The sequence below is a fragment of the Homo sapiens genome, chromosome 18, assembly GCF_000001405.40.
Source record: "Homo sapiens chromosome 18, GRCh38.p14 Primary Assembly".
Classification (NCBI taxonomy): Eukaryota; Metazoa; Chordata; class Mammalia; order Primates; family Hominidae; genus Homo; species Homo sapiens.
The window spans coordinates 32125617-32146853 of record NC_000018.10 but is presented as its reverse complement, the minus strand read 5'-3'; the positions used below and the strand labels follow the sequence as shown (position 1 = coordinate 32146853).

Here is a 21237-nt window from a genome sequence, read left to right as displayed (position 1 = left end):
TGAATCATTTCAAGAAGGTTAGTACCCCAGATATCTAAGACTCTTGAAAAATTCTGAAGATTTTATATTTTAACCTTTTAGAGAAATTTTTGGAACAAGAGAAAAAAAGACTGATAGGTTTCTGTTAGGAGCAGAAGATACAATGTCATTCATTTACTCCAGTGGTTCTCAAACCTTGCCTGCATGAGAATCCCATGGAGGCCTTATGAAAACAAAGATTGCTGACCTCAGCTCCAGAACTTCTGTATTCAGAGGACTGAGATAGGACTTGGGAATCTGATTTTCTAACAAGTTCCCAAGTAATGCTGATGCTGCTGGGACAGGCACCATGCTCCAAGACTGACTTAGTGTGTGTCTTGGTTTGGGTTCCACAACAAGTAGACACTAAGACAAGGATACAAGTGTAAGTAATTTATTTTGGAGGTACAGAAAACACCTGTAGGAGGCTGAGCACAGTGGCTCACGCCTATAATTCCAGCATTTTGGAAGGCCGAGGAGGGAGGATCACTTGAGGCCAGGAGTTCCAAACCAGCCTGGACAACATAGTGAGGCCCCATCTCTCCAAAAAATAAAAAATTAAAAATTACTGAGTGTGGTGTTGTGCACCTGTGGTCCCACAGACTCAGGATTGCTGGAGCCCAAGAAGTCGAGGCTGTGAGCCATGATCATGCCACTGCACTCCAGCCTGGGTGACAGAGCAAGACTTTGAGAGAGAGTGAGAGAAAGACTGAGAGAGGGAAAAAAAAGGAAAGAAAGAAGGAAGAGAGAGAGAGAGGAAGGAAGGGAGGGAGGGAAGGAAAGAGAAAAAAACCTGTTATCCCAGCACTTTGGGAGGCCAAGGTGGGAGGATCACTTGAGCCCAGAAGTTGGAGACCAGCCCGGGCAATAAAGTGAGGCCCTGCCTCTACAGAAAAATACAAAAATTATCCAGACGTGCTGACAAGCACCTGTAGTCCCAGCTACTCAGGAAGCTGAGGTGAGAGGATCACTTGAGGCTGGGAAATTGAGGCTAGAGTGAGCTATGATCATGCCACTGTACTCCAGCCTGGCAACAGAGCAAGATCCTGTAAAAAAACAAAAGAGAGAGAGAGAGAAAGAAAGAAAGGAAAGAAAGAAAGAAAGAAAGGAAGGAAGGAAGGAAGGAAGGAAGGAAGGAAGGAAAGAAAGAAAGAAAGAAAGAAAGAAAGAAAGAAAGAAAGAAAGAAAGAAAGAAAGAAAGAAAGAAAGAAAGAAAGAAAGAAAGAAAGAAAGAGGACCAACACCTGTAGAGGAGGGGAAAATGAGACAGGGAAACAGTAAAATACAGACCTCAGAGTTGTTCCACAAAAGGGGCCAGAGAGGTAGGATGTTTATACATCAACTTCCATTGGGCATTGATTGAGGGTTGATGGAGGGGAGTGTTGATAAAAGAGATTGGTTAATTCTCCAACACTTCCAAACTATGGACCTCCAGGGCGTTACAGGAAGGCCTCATCAGAGGTGGGGATATAGATTCTGACAATTGACGATGCAGAATCACAGTTGATTCCTACTGTGTATTGGGCATTGCTATGCCTCCCCCACTGAATAGTCCATTGCTGCTGTGTCCTCATGGAGCTTACATTCTGGGGGAGACTGGCAAGAAGTTATTTAATTTAATTGTAACTGGGTTAAATGCTAGGAAGCAGAACAGGTGCTATGGGAGGGTACAGCAGGACCAGAAGAGAGCTGGGTCATCAAGACTGCCTTGAGCAAGTAAGGTGAGAACTGAGCTTTCAGACGAACAGATTACAGCTAGATGGAGAAGGGAGGGTGAGGGTGGTGTTCTATGTTGAGAAAGCAGCATGTATGGAGACCCTCTGGTGGGAATGGGCATAGCAACTTTGAGGAACAGAATCTATGGCTAATAGCGCCCGTGTCTCTAGTATGAAGAGTGATGATAAATGAGGCTGGGAATGTTATGTAAGATGCAGACCCTGTAGGTTTGTTGGCCAAATTAAGAGCATTTGTTTCTTTTTCTCTTGAGAACAATGGAAATCATTGGATGATTTTAACCAAAACAATCGTAAGAAATTTGATGATATATACTAAAGAGAACACAAGCCTATTCAGGCATACTGATCGCAGTCCAGAAGTAGGGATGATATCTTTGGGTAGTGGAATGACAGTGAATAGGAAGAAAGACAAAAGAGACTTAAGAAATAAAATCAACAGGACTCATTAATGAATTAGATGTGTAATATATGGAAAACAGAAGTGACAAGGATGACTCCTAGGCTTTTGGCTTCAGCAAGTGCTGAAACATACTACTGTTACTGAGTTTCAGAATATGAAGACCAGATGTGAAGAGAAGATAAGTTTGGTCTTAGCTGTTATGAGTTTGAGACACCTGTGTGATCGTTGGTGCTGCTGAACAAATAGGTGGATATGCAGAGGACAGATGCGGATGAAAATTTGAGACTGGTTACCATAAAGATGGTAACTTGACGCTTGGATGAATGTGATCACTGATGCACAATGACGGATGAAAATGCTTGACCTTGAGATAAAGTAAAAGAGGAGAGACAGTACTGAGCCCTAAAGAACTCTGACATTTACATGCCCAATCTTAGGAGGTGAACCAGCAAAGAAGAAGTAGAGAGGAATGTGAGGAGAACCAGGAGAGAAGGATGCCACATTAGGCCAAGAGAAAGCAGTATTTCAACCCAATACTGAGTAGTACAGTAAAACAAGTACTAACTAGCTATGAGAACCCCGCCTAGGAAATAAGGGGCTTTTCAGCATTAAGGTTCTCAGGCTACAAACCTTAGTTTGCATCTTTTCTAAGGAAGAGTGGCATAACATAGTTAATAGTGAATTGAAGCTCAAGATACAGGAATAAAAGTAACTTGCTGCTTCAGATGAATTCATATCTCTAGGTCCAGATAAATTTCATCCTAGTATAAGGATGAGAGTGAAAACCTCATGACAATGACAAAAACTGCTGAAAACCTTCCTCATTAAATCTTCACATCCAACCTGTGGGTAGCCTGAAAAGAACAGAAGGGATACCTGTCTTCCAAGATCTATTCATGCTAAGAGTTGCCTGAACCAAACCCAAACCACAGCATACTCATACTTCGTCTCCTCTTTTCCTGCTCTGTGTCTGTTTCTGTTGACTTGCGTCTCCATCCCCCATCCAGTTCACTGTAGTTTCATCTTCCCTCTTGGCTCAGTGCATTTGAACTGGTCACACCATCACTGGCCTCTGGATTTATCTCAGGATTTTGTTTTCTGAACCTGGGCTCACAGACAACCCAAGATATACAGACCAGCCCTGCCACATACTCAAGGTGGATTGAATATCAAACTATGATGATGATGAAAATAGTCACTTTAAAATTCGTGACATTGGCCGGGCACGGTGGCTCACGCCTATAATCCCAGCACTTTGGGAGGCTGAGGCAGGTGGATCACCTGAGGTCAGGAGTTCAAGACCATCTTGACCAACATGGTGAAACCCTGTCTCTACTAAAAAAAAAAAAAAAAAAAAAAAAAAAAAAAAAAAAACACACACACACACACAAAAATTAGCCGGGTGTGGTGGCAGGCGCCTGTAATCCCAACTACTTGGGAGGCTGAGGTGAGAAGCACTTGAACCTGGGAGGTGGAGGTTGCAGTGAGCCGGGATCATGCCACTGCACTCCAGCCTGGGCAACAAGAGCAAAACTCCATCTCAAAATAAATAAATAAGCAAACAAACCAACATTCAGACAGGTGCGGTGGCTCACGCCTGTAATCCCAGCACTTTGGGAGGCCAAGGTGGGCAGACCATCTGAGGTCAGGAGTTCAAGACCAGCCTGACCAACATGGTGAAACCCCGTCTCTACTAAAATTACAAAAATTAGCCAGCCATGGTGGCACACACCTGTAATCCCAGCTACTTAGGAGGCTGAGGCAGGAGAATTGCCTGAGCCTGGAAGGTAGAGGTTGCAGTGAGCCAAGATCGCACCACTGCACTCCAGCCTGGGTGACAGAGCGAGACTCTGTCTCAAAAAATAATAATAATAAATAAATACATTCTTTCCTATGTTATAAATTTCACAAGCCTCACATCAACTTGCTGCTGCTGCTTTTTTTTTTTTTTTTTTTTTTTGAGATAGGGTCTTGCTCTGTCACCCAGACTGGAGTACAATGGTGTGATCTTGGCTCACTGCAGCCTCAACCTCCTGGGCTTAAACAATCTTCTTCCCTAAGCCTCCTTGTGTAGCTGGGTTCATAGGCACTCGCCACCACACCCGGGTAATTTTTGGGCTTCTTGTAGAGATGGAGTCTCACTTTGTTACCCAGGCTGGTCTCGAACCCCCAGGCTGAAGTGATCTGCTCACCTCGGCCTCCCAAAACGCTAGGATTACAAGCATGAGCCACTGCAGCTGGCCTCAACTTGCTTCCTTATCGTGATATTAGCTCATATTACAAAATAAGCAGCAGGGTATTTATGAGAAATATGAAAGAAATAAGGCTGCAAACAGAATCTTCACTTCAATTTAGACATATTTGTACTGAGGAGTCTCATACTCATGATATCATAGGCCCTTGATAAGCCCCAGCCAGTCAGTACTTAAGAAACCCTATCTGGATCAAACTGCTCCTGATTTTTTGTTGAAAGAGATACTTTTATTAGAAATGTCCCCCAACATTCATGGCCCAAATAACAAGAGGGGGAAACAAAAACTTCCAGCTTTTTTGCAATAATACACCTATCACCAGTGAAACATATACAACATTTTACATGTGGTCACCTTTTAGTGATATATATATTTAAACATTTTGTAGAGACAGGGTTTCACCGTGTTGCCCAGGCTGGTGTTGCCCAGGCTGGTCTCGAATTTCTGGATGCAAGCAATCCACTTGCCTCAGCCTCTCAAAGTACTGGGATTACAAGTGTGAGCCACTGCGCCCAGCCAACCTATCTTTCTAAAGAAAAAGAATGCATGCTCTGGCAATTACCAGTGAGAATCATGTTGTTCGACAAAATTCTAGAGTATCTGACTTGTAAGCAATTAGAAAATGAAATAGTAATTAAAGGACTCAAGGTGTATTCACTAAGTCAAATCAAACTAAATACATTTCACATTTTAACACATTTAATGGGCCAGAAGATTAAGAATTGTTATCATTGCAAACAATATGCTATGCAAGGGCTGGAGACTAGAACATTTAAGCATAAATATTAAAGTAATAGTTTAATAACTACACTCAAAGATTATTGATTAATAGATGAATGTCAGTCTAAAATAGCCTTTAATGATTTGTTCCTGGGCTCACCTTGGTCCTGTGCAATAAAGTGAAGGCCTTGCTTATTAGTCTGCACATGAATCTGGGAGTGGTAGCTAATATGTTGAGTGCCAAAATAAAAACTCAAAACATCTTATAGGTGAGACCCATAGCCAAAACTAAAAACAATGAAATTTAATAGTCTTTAAAGTAATGTCCTAAATTATGAAAAACATTTTAGGGATTATGATAGACATAAACTGCCATCAGTGGTCATGTAGTCTTGAGCAATTTTGATTAAAATGTGGTTTCTAATACAATGCACATAATGGTACCAAATTATTTTGCTTTGATGGGAAAACAATTTAAAGCACTGGACTGCAATTAAGAAGCCAACAATTTAGGGCGTTGACAAAACTGAACTGAGGCCAGACAATGGAAACCAGGAAGAGAAGTGATCCTAAAACCAGGCCATGAGGAATGATCAAAGCAAATGAGGATGTTACCTTGAAATGAAGTAAAATTTTGCTGATATTGTAAGAGACTCATGCATTCAAAGTTACGTTATAAAACGACAGAATTTTATGTCATTTGTTTTTGGTAAGACTAGACTATAGAATTATGAAGTCGTTTTATGGCAATCACTTGGATGGAATGTTATCATGCTGTGTCAGGAATTGGTGGGTTCTTGGTCTCACTGACTTCAAGAATGAAGCTGCGGACCCTCGCAGTGAGTGTTACAGCTCTTAAGGTGGCGCGTCTGGAGTTTGTTCTTTCTGATGTTCGGATGTGTTCGGAGTTTCTTCCTTCTGGTGGGTTCGTGGTCTTGCTGGCTTCTGGAGTGAAGCTGCAGACCTTCGCGGTGTTACAGCTCATAAAAGCAGTGTGGACCAAAAGAGTGAGCAGTAGCAAGATTTATTGCAAAGAACGAAAGAACAAAGCTTGCACATTGTGGAAAGGGACCCCAGCGGGTTGCCACTGCTGGCTGGGGCAGCCTGCTTTTATTCTCTTATCTGGCCCCACCCACATCCTGCTGATTGGTAGAGCCAAGTGGTCTGTTTTGACAGGGTGCTGATTGGTGCGTTTACAATCCCTGAGCTAGCCACAAAGGTTCTCCACGTCCCCACTAGATTAGCTAGATACAGAGTGTCGATTGGTGCATTCACAAACCCTGAGCTAGACGCAGGATGCTGATTGGTGTTTGCAAACCTTGAGCTAGATACAGAGTGCCGATTGGTGTATTTACAATCCCTGAGCTAGACACAGGGTGCTGATTGGTGTGTTTACAATCCCTGAGATAGACATAAAGGTTCTCCAGGTCCCCACCAGACTCAGGAGCCCAGCTGGCTTCACCCAGTGGATCCCGCAGGGGCCTGCAGGTGGAGCTGCCTGCCAGTCCCGTGCTATGCGCCCGCACTCCTCAGCCCTTGAGTGGTCGATGGGACTGGGTGCCGTGGAGCAGGGGGCAGGGTTCATTGGGGAGGCTTGGGCCGCACAGGAGCCCACGGAGAGGGTGGGAGGCTCAGGCATGGCAGGCTGCAGGTCCCCAGCCCTGCCCTGTGGGAAGGCAGCCAAGGCCTGGCGAGAAATTGAGCACAGCAGCTGCTGGCCCAGGTGCTAAGCACCTCACTGCCCGGGGCCAGTGGGGCCGGTTGGCCGCTCCGAGCGCGGGGTCTGCCAAGCCCACGCCCACCCGGAACTCACGCTGGCCCGCAAGCACCGCTCACAGCCCCGGTTCCCGCCCACGCCTCTCCTTTCACACCTCCCCGCAAGCTGAGGGAGCCGGCTCCGGCCTTGGCCAGCTCAGAAAGGGGCTCCCACAGTGCAGCGGTGGGCTGAAGGACTCCTCAAGTGCCGCCAAAGTGGGAGCCCAGGCAGAGGAGGCGCCCAGAGCGAGCAAGGGCTGTAAGGACTGCCAGCACGCTGTCACCTCTCAATGCCACAGCCTGAAAACACTCTGTAAAAGCCTACTAGCTCAGAAAGTCCTCCTCTCAGCTCCATGGCACTAGTTCCACAGAATTAACTATTATTTTTTTTTTTTGGTGTTTTTTTGCTAAACTATCATCTCTGCTCCACTTAATCTTCTTCATAATCTGCTGCAGTTTGCTGCTTGTCAGTTGAGGACATGGTTTACATTTCAAAAGACATAATTTAAGCTTCTTTCCTTAATAAAAGTACTTTTTAAAAAATGTTCACGCATTTATTTCTTTTGAAATAAATCTGAACTTTAAGAAAATTTGTGGCTGGGTAGCCAGGCGTGGTGGCTCACGCCTGTAATCCCAGCACTTTGGGAGGCTGAGGCAGGCGGATCATGGGTCAGGAGATTGAGACCATCCTGGCTAACACGGTGAAACCCCGTCTCTACTAAAAATACAAAAAGTTAGCTGGGCATGGTGGCGGGCACCTGTAGTCCCAGCTACTCGGGAGGCTGAGGCAGGAGAATGGCGCGAACCGGGAGGCAGAGCTTGCTGTGAGCGGAGGTCGTGCCACTGCACTCCAGCCTGGGCGACAGAGCGAGACTCTGTCTCAAAAAAAAAAAAAAAAAGAAAGAAAGAAAATTTGCGGCTGGGCACAGTGGCTCACACTATAATCCCAACACTTTGGTATTACAGAAAAAAATAAAAATAAAAAAAACCCAGGATGCAATAAAGAAGCCAGTCAAAAGCTGTCAAAACCAAGATGGTGACCAAAGCAACCTCTGGCTATCCTCACTGCTCCTAATATGTTAATTATAATACATTAGCATACTAAAGTAAACTCCCATTAGTGCCATGACTGTTTATAAATGCCATGGCTACATCCAGAAGTTACCCTACATGCTCTAAAAGGGGGACAAACCCTCAGTTCCAGGAACTCCTCACCCCTTTCCTGGAAAATTCATGAATAATCCATCCCTTGCTTAGCATATAATCCAGAAATAACCATAAGTATAGCCAGTCAAGCAGCCCACACTGCTACTCTGCCTATGGGGTAGTCACCCTTTTATTCCTTTACTTTTTAATAAACTTGCTTTCACTTTACTCTGTCAGCTCACTCTTGAATTCTTTCCTGTGCAAAGCAAAGAACCTGCCTGGCCTTCTGGGCTAAGCCCCAGCTTTGTGGTTCACCCTGTGACAGAGTGATAAGACACATAGATCAATGGAACAGAACAGAGAACCCCAAAAGAAACTCACATATGTATGCTCAAATGATTTTTTACAAAGTTGCAACAGCAAACTCAATGCAGGATGGATAGTGTTTTCAACAAATGGTGCTGGATTAATTGGAGAACGATAAGCAATAACAAGATAATGTCAGCCTAAACCATACCATTTATATAAACATCAACTCTAAATGGAGTAGATTTAAATGTAAAGCATAAAATTATAAAGAATTTTAGAAGAAAACAGAAAAAAATCTGCAGGACATAGGACTAGGTAAAGAATTTTTAGGTATGATACCAAAAGTATAATCCATAAAAGTTAAAATCAATTAATTGGATTTCATGAATATTAAAAACTTTGTTCTCTTAAAGTTTTTAATTTATCAAAAACTTATATATTTTCTCCCCATGTGTATCTGTTATTTCCTTCTTCCCTGTAAGATGAGAGATCCAGTATATGAGAGACCCAGTTTCTCCGCATCCTTGCCAGCATTTAGTATTATGAACATTTTTTCTATTTTAAACATTCAAATAGGTATATAATGACATTTCATTTGTGGTTTAAATTTTTATTCTGTAATAGATCATGGCATTTGACATCTTTTATATCCCTTATGTCCCTATAAGAATAAGGAAACAACAGATACAGATGGGGAGAAAATATGCAGTAGAAAAACAAATAATCCAGTTAGAAAATGGGCAAATGATAAGAAGATATAAAAGGACATTTCACTAAAGAGAGATGGCCAGTAACACACTAAAAGATGTCAAATACCATTAGCTATTACTGAATAAAAAATTAAACCACAATGAAATGTCATTATATATCTATTTGAATGGCTAAAATAGAAAAAAAATACTTATAACCATGTGATTTGTGCCTGTAATCCCAGCTATTCCAGAGGCTGAGGCACGAGAATCACTTGAACCCAGGAGGTGGAGGTTGCAGTGAGCTGAGATCATGCCACCGCACTCCACCCTGGGTGACAGAGTAAGATGCTGTCTTAAAAAAAAAAAAAAAAAAAAAAAAAAACTAAAAAAATTTTGACTCTTAAGTAGAAGCCTTTTTTAATATTCTGGATAACAAAAGGGGGAAGACACATAAAGTACATTTCCTGCATAAGGAGGTACAATGGTTGTCTCAAGGAAATATATTTGTGCAAATTATATTGAGTTATGACCTCAACCAACTTTTTTTTTTTCATGGCATGGCCACTTTTACTTAAAAGAGTGACTGGCAAAATATTTATATGTGGGTATTTGGAGGGAGAAAATCAGCATGTCACTTCAAGGTAACAACCATTTTTTGTCAAAGATAAAATTTGAGGTTTTAAGCAAAAATCGGAGTTTTGTAAGCTTCCTGGCTTCCCAATTTTTAAAGACTTGATGAGATCCATGGTGATATTAATATAATTGCTACAGTACAAAAAGTGAGTAAATATTTGATAGATCTCCATAACTCAGTGCACCATCTTTTGGACTGACCATCACATAATGCTATGCAATCATGTGCAGGTAAAAGGTCCATTCAAATACAGGATAGATCTATGGATTTTCCTGTTAAGTGTACAAAAAGTTTGATGTGGTTCGGATTACAACTAACTTTTAAGAATTTACTATTTGTTCGGGAGGCTGAGGCAGGAGAATTGCTTGAACCTGGGAGGTGGAGGTTGAGGCGGAGGTTGCAATGAGCTGAGATTGTGCCATTGCACTCCAGCCTGGGCAACAAGAGCGAAACTACATCTCAAAAAAAAAAAAAAAAAAGTTACTATTTGTTGTTTTTGTTTTGATGCAGTATGTAAGAATACCCAGCCAACTTTTTTTTTTTTTTTTTTTTGAAACTGAGTTTTGCTCTGTCACCCAGGCTGGAGTGTAGTGGCACAATCATGGCTCACTGCAATCTCAACCTCAACCTCCCTGGGCTCAAGAGAACCTGCCACTTCAGCTGCTGTGGGTAGCGGGGACTACAGGCACATGCCACCACACTCATTTAATTTTTGTATTTTTTTTTTGTAGAGACAGGGTTTTATCACATTGCCCAGACTGGTCTCAAAGTCCTGAGCTCAAGCCATCCGCTCGCCTCGGCCTCCCAAAGTGCTGAGATTACAGGTATGAGCCACCTTACTGGAACTCAGTTATCTTTTTTAAAAGGCTATTAAAATATTCCTCCCTTTTCCAACAACATTATCTGTATGAGACTAGATTATCTTCATATCCTTTAAGCAAAATAACCCACAATAGGTTGAATGCTGATGCATATATGAACAATATGAACAATCTAGCTGTCTTCCATTAACCTAGATATTTGAGAGATCTGCTGAATATTTTTGCAAGTTATTTTCCATTACAAATGTTAATGATAATGTAATGAGCTTATTATTTTAAATGTTAATGTTTTCACTTTGTCAATTCCCCCTTTTTTTTTTTTTTTTTCAAGAGACAGGGTCTCATTGTGTTGCCCAGGCTGCTCTTGAACCCCTGGCCTCAAGGGATACTCTTACCTTGCCTCCTAAAGTGCCGAGATTACAGCCATTAGCCACTGGGCCTGGTCCACTTTATCAGTTTCCTATGTGACAAACATGTGATAAATACAGTCATGCATTGCTTGATGACAGGAATATGTTCTGAGAAACGTACCATTAGGTGATTTCCTCATTGTGTGAACATCACAGAGTATATTTACACAAACCTAGATGATATAAGCCTACTACATACCTGGGTTATATGGTGTGGCCTATTGCTCCTAGGCTACAGAACTGTATGGCATGTTACTATACTGAATACTGTAAGGAACTATAACACAGTTTATCTAAACATATCTAAACATAGAAAACATATCTAAACATAGAGAAGGTACAGTGAAAATACAGTATTATAATCTTAAGGGACCACCATTGCATATGTGGCCCATCAACGACCAAAATGTCGTTATGTGGCGCATGACTATATTCACAAAAACAAAACTGCTTTTGGGTTCTCAATAATTTCTAAGGGTAAAGGGCTCCTGAGGCAAGAAGTTTGAAAAGTGTGAGTCTAAGTAAACCTAAAATTACTTCATAAACACAGAAAATGCTGTTGTGATATATCAATTCTATCTGGAAACAGAAACAGTTGGTATAGAGTAGTATTCTCAACCATTACTCATAAAATTTTCAAAAAGCTCAGAAAAACTATTTTACACCCTTTGATACTACCAAATAACCTAGATAATCATATGTAAGCTAGTCAAGTGATTTGCTAATGTTGCAAAATAATTTTTTTCCTAGAGACAATAGTTTCATTCTAATTATTAAAGAACCAAACATGTTTAAAAATGGGTGGGTTAAGTAAATTTCTCATCATACATCCTAGGTATACATTCGACTGAGAAGTATGATCATCAGCTGATTGTTCTTTATTATTTTTTCTTTTTTTTTTTTTTTTTTTTTTTTTTTTTTTTTTGAGGAGTCTTGCTCTTGTTGCCCAGGCTGGAGTACAACGGCGCAATTATTTTAAGATATGTTTTATTCAGAATTCCTCATGTGTGGGGTATTTGTACTTCTTGGAAACAAAAACAGTGTCTCAGATCTTCCCACAAAAGTTGAGGCTAGCAAGCCAGGTATGACGCACACCTGCAGTCTCAGCTACTCATGAGGCTGAAGATCCCTTGAGACAAGGAGTTTAGGTTCAAGGGATCGAGGCCTTGAGGCCAAAGCAGGAGGATCACTTGAACTCAGGAGTTTGAGACCCACCTGGGCAACATGGCGAAATCCTCTCTCTACAAAAAATACAAACAGTTGAGGCCAGCAAATAAAGACTAGTAACCCTTTAGACTCTATATCCTTAAGGGGGAAAAAAAATCCAGACTGTCTTGACAGGATTTTAGACTAAAGTAGGACCTGACAGATATAAATACAATAGGTTGACTTGTATTGGATACACAGTAACAATAAACGTTAACATGCTCTGTTCCAAGCTCTTTGTAATATTAACTAATTCAATCCTCACAAACCATAGAGGTAAAAAGGGCTACGAAATGTGTCCAAACTACACAAGTAGCAACCAGCAGAATCATCAAAAACAGGTTGTCTGGTCCAAGAAAGTAGGCTCAGTTGTTTTAAATGCTTGGTCTTCTGGCAAAGATCTACCCAACACCCTTCTGTATCTGCTGCAACCGCTTTTGTTTCTATTGGTGGCTTCAGATCCTATCCCAGAAAATATTGTCCTTAAATACTCATTAAAATCTCCTATTTCCCATGATTTGAGGGAGCCTAACAAAAAAATAAAATAGAAAAATAAAATTCTGTACCTACAAAAATGCCTTGAAAAGAAAACATCCAGGCCGAGGTAGGGCACGGTGGCTCACGCCTGTAATCTCAGTACTTTGGGAGTCTGAGGTGGGCGGATCACCTGAGGTCAGGAGTTTGAGACCAGCCTGGCCAAGATGGCGAAACCCTGTCTCTACTAAAATATAAAAATTAGCTGGGTGTGGTGGCGCATGCCTGTAATCCCAGCTACTCGGGAGGCTGAGGCAGGAGAATCGCTTGAACCTGGGAGGGGTTGAAGTGAGCCGAAGTCAGGCCGCCGCACTCCAGCCTGGGTGACAGGGCGAGACTCCATCCCCCCAAAAGATAAAAGAGCATCCAGGCCCTGCGCGGTGGCGCACACCTGTAATCCCAGCACTGTGGAAGGCTGAGGTGGGCGGATCACTTAGGGCCAGGAGTTTGAGACCAGCCTGGACAACGTGGTGAAACCCATCTCTACTAAAAGTATAAAAATTAGCTGAGCATGGAGGCGCACGCCTGTAATCCTAGCTACTCAGGAGGCCGAGGCAGGAGAATCGTTTGAACCTGGGAGATGGAGGTTGCAGTAAGCAGAGATTGCACCACTGCACTCTAGCCTGGGTAAGAGTGAGACACTGTCCCAAAAAAAAAGATAGAACATCCCATACACAGCTCATGGAAAGTCAGGTAAGAGCAGCGGAAGGCCATTTGGCTAGACTCTTCACTTCCTTCCTCAGTTATGAGGGGAAGACCAGCCTGTTTTGTTTTTACCTACATTTGGCATCCCCAGGTACCAGCATACATAAAAGAATCACTTGTAATACATTTAACACAACTTTTACAAATACTAAAATATAACTTTAGAAGACTAAGCTTTTCTGTTCTGGACAAAGGACAAGTCACTGCTGCTGTAAATGCAAGAAAAAAACAGAAAAATCTCAATGTTATAAAAGCCAAATATAAAATAATATTTACTGTGTGCTTCCACTTAACACAAACCCATTTATGGTATTAGAAGTTATGTCGTGATAATACTTAGTTGTGACTGGAAGTAGAAACAAAAAGACTTAGGAGATTCTAGCAATTTTTTTTTCTTGACTTGAGCATGGATTACTTCAGGTTATTGTTCACTTTGTGCACTTTCAGTATCATGTGCCATTATTGCCCACTTAGACTAATACGAAATCTCCCTCACATCCTATTTTCTTCCTCTCCATATCCTCCACCAAACGGCTGTGACTCATCTGCTTACCAGTCTTCCATATTTATTCCCCTGCCTTGCTTGTCCTTAAATTCTGCAGGATGTCTTTCACTATTACAATCTTAAGAATTCCTGTTTTTTGGCCGGGCATGGTGGCTCACACCTGTAATCCCAGCACTTTGGGAGGCTGAGGTCAGGAGTTCAAGACCAGCCTGACCAACATAGTGAAACCCTGTCTCTACTAAATACAAAAAATTAGCTGGGCACGGTGGCGTGTGCCTGTAATCCCAGCTAAGATAGGAGAATCGCTTGAACCTGGGAGGCGGAGGTTGCAGTGAGCCTAGATCATGCCATTGCACTCCAGCCTGGGCAACGAGAGAACTCCGTCTCAAAAAAAAAAAAAAAATTCCTGTTTTTTGTTGAGACAGGGTCTTGCTCTGTCATCCAGGCTGGAGTGCAGTGGCACAGTAACGGCTCACTGAAGCCACAACCTCCCCAGCTCAAGCCATCCTCCCACCTCAGCCTTCTGAGTAGTTGGGACTACAGGTGCACACCACCACACCCGGCCAATTTTTTGATTACTTGCAGAGATGGGGATATATGTTGCCCAGGCTGGGAGAATTCGTTATATAGGACATCATACAATACAGTTTAAATTGTTTGTCAGTAAAGTACATAATGGAATACACCCATTTTACTCATATTGGGAGAAGAATGCAGTGTATGTCATCTTTCTCAATCCCAGGACTGGACCACTGCTATTGAAGCAGGGAGACAGGCTGTGACACCCGTTTTCCTGAGATTCTTGTATCCCCCTTTAACTCACCTCCCTTCCCCATCTTTTTTCAAAACTGTACCGCACAGATAATTATGTTACACACTAAGTGATATCATGGAATGAGTGCTTTACTTATATGTCTGAGTTTTATAGTATCTGTATTTACATGTTTTCTGGGTCACACCTTTTCTACATAGTATGCTAAAAAGTCACGCTTCTACAAGGGGTTTGAGTAGCAGCTGTTAAGGGGTTTCTGTAGAAGTTATGATGTATTGAAGATCATAATTAATACTTACCAAGCAACCCATACAAGGTATATGACATTGTATTTGGCAACATAGTCTTATAACCCTGGTATCTTACTTAAAAGTACTATCTATCTCCATATAAAAGTGTTTATTAAGCAAATAAGCTTTCTGCCTAGCTGCTAACAGGGCTTGAAAATCTTGCTCCGCAGACACTTCATAAAATTGCTTTATAAGGTGATTAACATTTGAAATGGATAAAAATAAATAGGTTTATAAAGTTAAATCTGACATATAGCACCAGCATGTGGTAGCTTTTTCTTATCCACTTTTTTAAGTGCAAAATAATGGGTTATCTCCTACGTCTTTCAGTGTGAATTATGAGAGTTAAATGTTTGCCTCCAGACAAATTTTAATTAGACACACAAGTAGGAGAAAACCACTTTTAATTGAAAAATAAAGCAATACATCTCAAATAAGACTCTGTTTTAACAATAAAACTGTAATTTGTTGAAATAGCTTTCCTAAGTGGTATTGTGAAATTTAGGTATTGGAGTATCAATACAATTCCCTCCTTTAATTCTGACTCAGCTATAAGTAATATTAAAAATAAACTTTTCCCCATAAATTTAATTTCCATAAATCTGTAAAGTCTATCCCTATTCCCAATGCACTGACAAAAAGAGGGGAAATTTTAAACAATCATTTTCATACTGAGAAATTCTCAGATAAAAGCAAATAAAGTATTTTCCTTATGAAAAAGCTGATATGTGAGACACACAAGACTATCAATGATATTTAACTCATTCACAAAACTTTAAAACACAATTCCATCAAGATGACCTCTACTACAATTTTCCTTTAAAGAAGTTCCCAAATCCCAGAATGGTTTAACTTGACATATTGGATGTATTAAACTTTGCAAATCCCAGAATGGTTTAACTTGACATATTGGATGTATTAAACTTTGCAAATCCCAGAATGGTTTAACTTGACATATTGGATGTATTAAACTTTGAAAGAAACTATGAAAGTTATTGCTTTAAACTGGAAAACACTATGGTCAAAAGTCTTAAAAAGGAGCTGTTTTTTAAATTACACCCATGTAACTGAAAGAAAATGCTCAAGCACACACATAGTAAACACCACTCTTTAAAATGACAGAACAAAGGCGTATGTTCATTAAGATGTATGGCTTTTCTTGTGGTTGTTATTACAATCCATAAATAAAGTCTTTACTGTTTGACTGAAAAAGGTTTTTACAAAACTGCACTTCCAAAATTAACATTTTTATTAAATCAAGTTAAAAAAAATGTTCAGTGTAGAAAAGTCAACAAGGGTTTTAACAAAACCAAAATATACCTTTTTATACAATATATGTATATATTAGCAGCAAACTACTTCTGAGATTCTCTTTCTTTTATGTTCTTCTAGTTATTTTAAAGAAAGCATAAACAATGTATATTAGTATGGAATGTCAGCAAATCCACTCTTAGTCCTTTATTCTGTGATTTGGGCCTTCTACAAAATACTTTGTGATTCTCACTAATGAATATTAAGAACATACCCAATTTTAACTAAAAAGTAGTGAAACAGTGGTTGGTAGAATCTTTCTCACTATATCACGGTCACACATTATATTTGAGAATAACAAATGAGCACCATATAAACAGGTAATTGTGTGTGTGTAAACTCAATTTTTAAGGTGTAATAGTAGCCAACTAGATAACTTAGCACTGTGACTATCACTTTTTAAAAATTTGGTGATATACAAAATTTTAAACAAATCAGATAAACACTTCAACCCCCTATTGCTTGTCCATTTAAAAAATCCTTAATAGAAATTCTATATATAACCTGACAAACTGCATACACACATATGTGTATATATACACACAAAAGTATATGTATATATACATCTTTAGCTTTGAATAAATTTCTAAACTGAGATGAAGCCAAACCTCTCATTTATATCTTCTAGAATACAATATCACCAACTGAAAGTTTCTAATAAGAGTTTCAACTTAGTTAATCAGAAATACTGGCTACTGAAAATTCTGAGGCCAAAGAGCTGTTATTCAGCTTAGTATATTCTAGGCTTACAAATCAGTCAAAGACTGAAATTATCAAATGCCCATGAAAGAAAGAAATTTTTCTCTTTGTATTTCCTTCTAATAACAAAAAGAAAATATCTTTACAACAAGCTTTCACTTTTTAAAGAATTAAAATTATTACAGAAATCTCACTAGTCTTCAAAAATAGTAAATGTTATATAAATACAATTTTCTTATAGTTGAATTTTTCAGCTAGAACCTGCATTTAAAAAATTTCCTTTGGATTATTCCATTTAGCACTTCAAGTTTCTATTCTGCAACTCTAATAATAACTGGCTCAGATTTGTTAGGTTATATCAATCACATCGTTCAAAATTTGCTACTGTGTGTTAAATGTGTACAATAATAAAGTAAATGGGAGGAATGCATCAAATTTCAAAAGCAACATAATAATGAAAAATTCAAAAATAATATTACAAAAAGATAAAGTACAACAGGGATTCTCTTTCACCGTTACATTAGTGAAACATCTTTTTTACACCTTTAAAGCTAATGTCATAACTTTCATTTTTTAACTTATCAAGATGATGAAGTTTTTAGAAGCCCTACCTTTATTTTCAATCAAAAACTAAAATGACTGAATTACTTTTATTAATATACACATCAAGTTACTGTAACGGTGACTTCATGTAGTTTCCCCCTTAAAGATGGCACTTGCAGGTACAAAGATGCAGAGATGTCTACAGCCTTCAGATGTTTACTTGAAAAGATTCTTCAACAGCAGTTTGGTATTGGGTTTCTTCATCTAGCTGAAGATTCTAAAAACAATAACATTCATGTCAACAGGAAAAACATATTCAACTACTCTAATACTTTGCCCAAAACATTAGACATCTTGATACACATTACACATCTTGACACACATTACACACACTCAGGACAGTTATGTAAAACATATATAACAGTATCTTTTAAGATACAAGATTTGAATACCTGAACTTTAATAAGACATTAAGTTCAGTTGTAACTGTTCAAGAATAACAAACAAACAGAGAGGATCATCACAGAACAAAATTTGAGTGTTATAATGCCTTTATAAGTCATTCATAAAAAATATGGTTAACTGGAAAGCTGGGTAAGCATGCGCCTGTAGTTGCAACTATTCAGGAGGCTGAGGCAGAAGACAGTTTGAGCCTATGAGTTTGAGGTCAGCCTGGGCAACACAGGGAGACTGTCACTTTAAAAAATAAAAATAAAAAATGAAAAATAAAACTGAAGTTAATCATAACACACAATCATAAATGTGTCATCTCTAGAAAATAATGCCAAATATCTGACAGTAAACTGATTTTAAGAAAACAAGCATTTATTGAATTATGAGTTGAGTAAGAAATTTTTTGGGGGGCAGTTTGGCTCTGTCACTCAGGCTGGAGTGCAGTGGCACAATCTTGGCTCACTGCAACCTCCACCTCCTGGGCTCAAGCAATTCTTGTGCCTCAGCCTGCCAAGTAGCTAGGATTACAGATACGTACCACCACACCCAGCTAATTTTTGTATCTTTAGTAGAGACAGGGTTTTGCCATGTTGGCCAGGCTGGTCTTGAACTGCTGACCTCAGGTGATCCACCCGCCTCGGCCTCCCACAGTACTGGGATGACAGGCATGAGCCATCATGCCCAGATGAGTAATAAATTCTTAACCATAACATGAAGCCTACAGCTTATTCAATCGTTATAAAACTACTCCTTAATTTAAAAAATTATATTTGCTATCAATTTTATGCCCTATGCATTTCGCTTTAAAATCAAGGCCTCTATTTGACAATCTGAAATAATTAGATCACCTACTTTTCTTTTTTGAGACGGAGTCTCGCACTGTCACCCAGGCTGGAGTGCAGTGGCGTGATCTTCACGCACTGCAAGCTCTGCCTCCCGGGTTCATCCCATTCTCCTGCCTCAGCCTCCCGAGTAGCTGGGACTATAGGCACCTGCCAACACACCCGGCTAACTTTTTGTATTTTTAGTAAAGACGGGGTTTCACCGTGTTAGCCAGGATGGTCTCAATCTCCTGACCTTGTGATCCACCCACCTCGGCCTCCCAAAGTGCTGGGATTACAGGTGTGAGCCACCAAGCCCTGCCTAGATTACCTACTTTTCTATGGCAAGATAAAACAACTTGACAATTAGATCAAAAGTGGTTCACAAATTTTTGTATTTCCAAATACATTACATAGCAATCTTTCTTACAATGAGAATTTAATAATAATCTAGAATTACTTTATAAAATTGCTAAAGCAATAAAGCGCACCTAAATTTTACATATATTTGAATTTTTATTTTGAAATTGGCTAAATAATGCAAATTCTACAAAATTTAAAAACCATTTAACAAGAATGATGTAATTTCAACACTGGAAGGCAGACAAAAATGTATATTTTGTTCATGTCACTCTGCTTACCTAAACTGGAAAACAAATAGCCATTCTTTGTCAGGACTAATCTTAAATAAAGTTTTGATTAAACTGAAGTTGAATAAAATGCAATTTAATAATTAATAAAACAGGTTTTCACCTAATTAAAAAAGTATATCACACATTTAGAAGTACAAATTAATCCATTTTGCTTTATGAATTCATTTTTACATTATATAACTTCTCTTACACTCTTAGTCTCTTTGTAACCTGGCTTTGCCTGATAACTAAGCTCCCTCATTTTTAAAAACGTTGTGTCTTACATGCTAGATTTGAGAAATCTAAGATTTCTAGCATAATACAAGCAACTTATACTACATGAGAAATACATCCTCCATATGTTGTACCAATTTTACTTCTCTTGTAGGTACAATTTTCCCTTAAATCTTGACAGAGTTTTCATGTAAATCATCATTTTGTTAATCTGGGTGCTTGCTGTTACTCTTATTAATTCTCTCTCTAGTACAGGAGGTGGAGAGTAAACTCAATTTTTACCTTACCATTTCTACAAGCTAAAGTTCACCAGTATTATTAAAAACCTAAGAACTTGCTCTAAATCCATCCAGTAAGATACAACAGCTTGCCACAAAATTTAAGTCGATTACAAAAAAGTTATTTTAACTTTAATATTTAAACAGTACTTTCTTAATCTTGAAGAATTCACTTACCACAAATTCTCCATAATCAAATTGATGTCTCTGATTTAGATGACTAACGAAATTTCTGGTAATCTGGCTAGGATCTCCCCAAGGAAGAGACACACAAATAGGACATGTCTATAAGAAACAGATTGTTTTAAACAAAAAATAATAAAAACAATGAAATATTATACAATTGACAGTATTAAAATAACACAGGGATATGTTACCAAAAATATCTACGTGAGAAGCATTTTTAAAGGCCAAGTTCCATGACTAGATCATTTCCCAATCAATTACCTTAGATAAATGACATTAATCTAACACAGTGAGAAATCTTAGACATTCTATTCCTTAAATCTCTTATTACACAAATGTTTCAACAGAAAAACCACATCTAGCTTTTAATAATACCAACTGTAATGACAGTTATCACTAACTGGCTGCCTGCAACATATCCAATATATTATCTCATTTGATCCATACAATAACCATATAATTATTATTAGTTTTATTTCATTTGTAAGTAAAATAAAAATGAAGTAAACTGGAAAATTTACTTTAAATTGTATCCTTAGTTTTTCTTTTCTTTTCTTAAAACTAGAGACACAGTCTCACTGTTGTCCAGGCTGGGTCTCAAATTCCTGAGCTCAAGCAATCCTCCCGCCTTGGCCTCCCAAAGTGCTGGGATTAAAGGCATGTGCCACCACACCCAGCCATATCCTTACGTTTAAATGAAGTACATCTTAAAAACTGAATGGATAAATAACTGAAATAACACACAAAAAACCTTCAGTAATTAAACTCTAGCCAAAGTTTATGATATATCGAATATTATGCAGAAATGAATAAAAATTTGGTAATCCAATATAAAACTAAGTAAAATCTTAAATATGAGCGAGATTTCCTGGAACATCTTTGGCACTGTATTTGTCTATTTAAGCATAACTGAACCCATTCTAATAAGCAAAGTAGGTAGTACACCTTCTTAGGTGGTATGTGAGAGCTTAAGGTCATCCTCAATGGTTATTGAAGCATATTCTTTTTATTTTCTTTATTTTTAAATAGACAGGGTCTCACTATGTTGCCCAGGCTAGTCTCGAACTCCTGGGCTCAAGCAATCCTCCCCTCTCGGCCTCCCAAAGTGCTAAATTACAGGCATGAGCCACCGTGCCCGGTCCTGAAGCACATTCTTTCACAACTTTTCCTAGCAT

The 21237-nt window shown here is 39.2% G+C and overlaps 1 protein-coding gene across 6 annotated transcripts in view, besides 4 other annotated features; it reads right to left on the bottom strand.

The window, feature by feature from the left end:
- Positions 9432–9632: a silencer, noted in NCBI's record as "peak3111 fragment used in MPRA reporter construct". NCBI's record gives its function as "represses an SCP1 promoter by STARR-seq MPRAs in K562 erythroleukemia cells {active_cell/tissue: K562}" and the evidence as "EXISTENCE:reporter gene assay evidence [ECO:0000049][PMID:32103011]".
- Positions 11842–12042: a silencer, noted in NCBI's record as "peak3110 fragment used in MPRA reporter construct". NCBI's record gives its function as "represses an SCP1 promoter by STARR-seq MPRAs in K562 erythroleukemia cells {active_cell/tissue: K562}" and the evidence as "EXISTENCE:reporter gene assay evidence [ECO:0000049][PMID:32103011]".
- Positions 13632–13832: a silencer, noted in NCBI's record as "peak3107 fragment used in MPRA reporter construct". NCBI's record gives its function as "represses an SCP1 promoter by STARR-seq MPRAs in K562 erythroleukemia cells {active_cell/tissue: K562}" and the evidence as "EXISTENCE:reporter gene assay evidence [ECO:0000049][PMID:32103011]".
- Positions 14602–14802: a silencer, noted in NCBI's record as "peak3106 fragment used in MPRA reporter construct". NCBI's record gives its function as "represses an SCP1 promoter by STARR-seq MPRAs in K562 erythroleukemia cells {active_cell/tissue: K562}" and the evidence as "EXISTENCE:reporter gene assay evidence [ECO:0000049][PMID:32103011]".
- Positions 15293–21237, bottom strand: part of RNF138 (ring finger protein 138) — a 39688-nt gene continuing 33743 nt past the window's right edge. For 5 of the 6 annotated variants that reach the window (NM_016271.5, XM_005258286.3, XM_005258285.2 and 2 more), the window contains 2 exons: positions 20054–20161; positions 15293–17735 (listed from right to left, as the gene is read on the bottom strand). In NM_016271.5, the coding sequence (NP_057355.2) occupies positions 17667–17735; positions 20054–20161 (177 nt within the window). In that variant the 3' untranslated portion in view covers positions 15293–17666. The remainder of the gene's footprint in view (positions 17736–20053; positions 20162–21237) is intronic. The other variant, XR_935225.3, reaches the window with a different exon arrangement.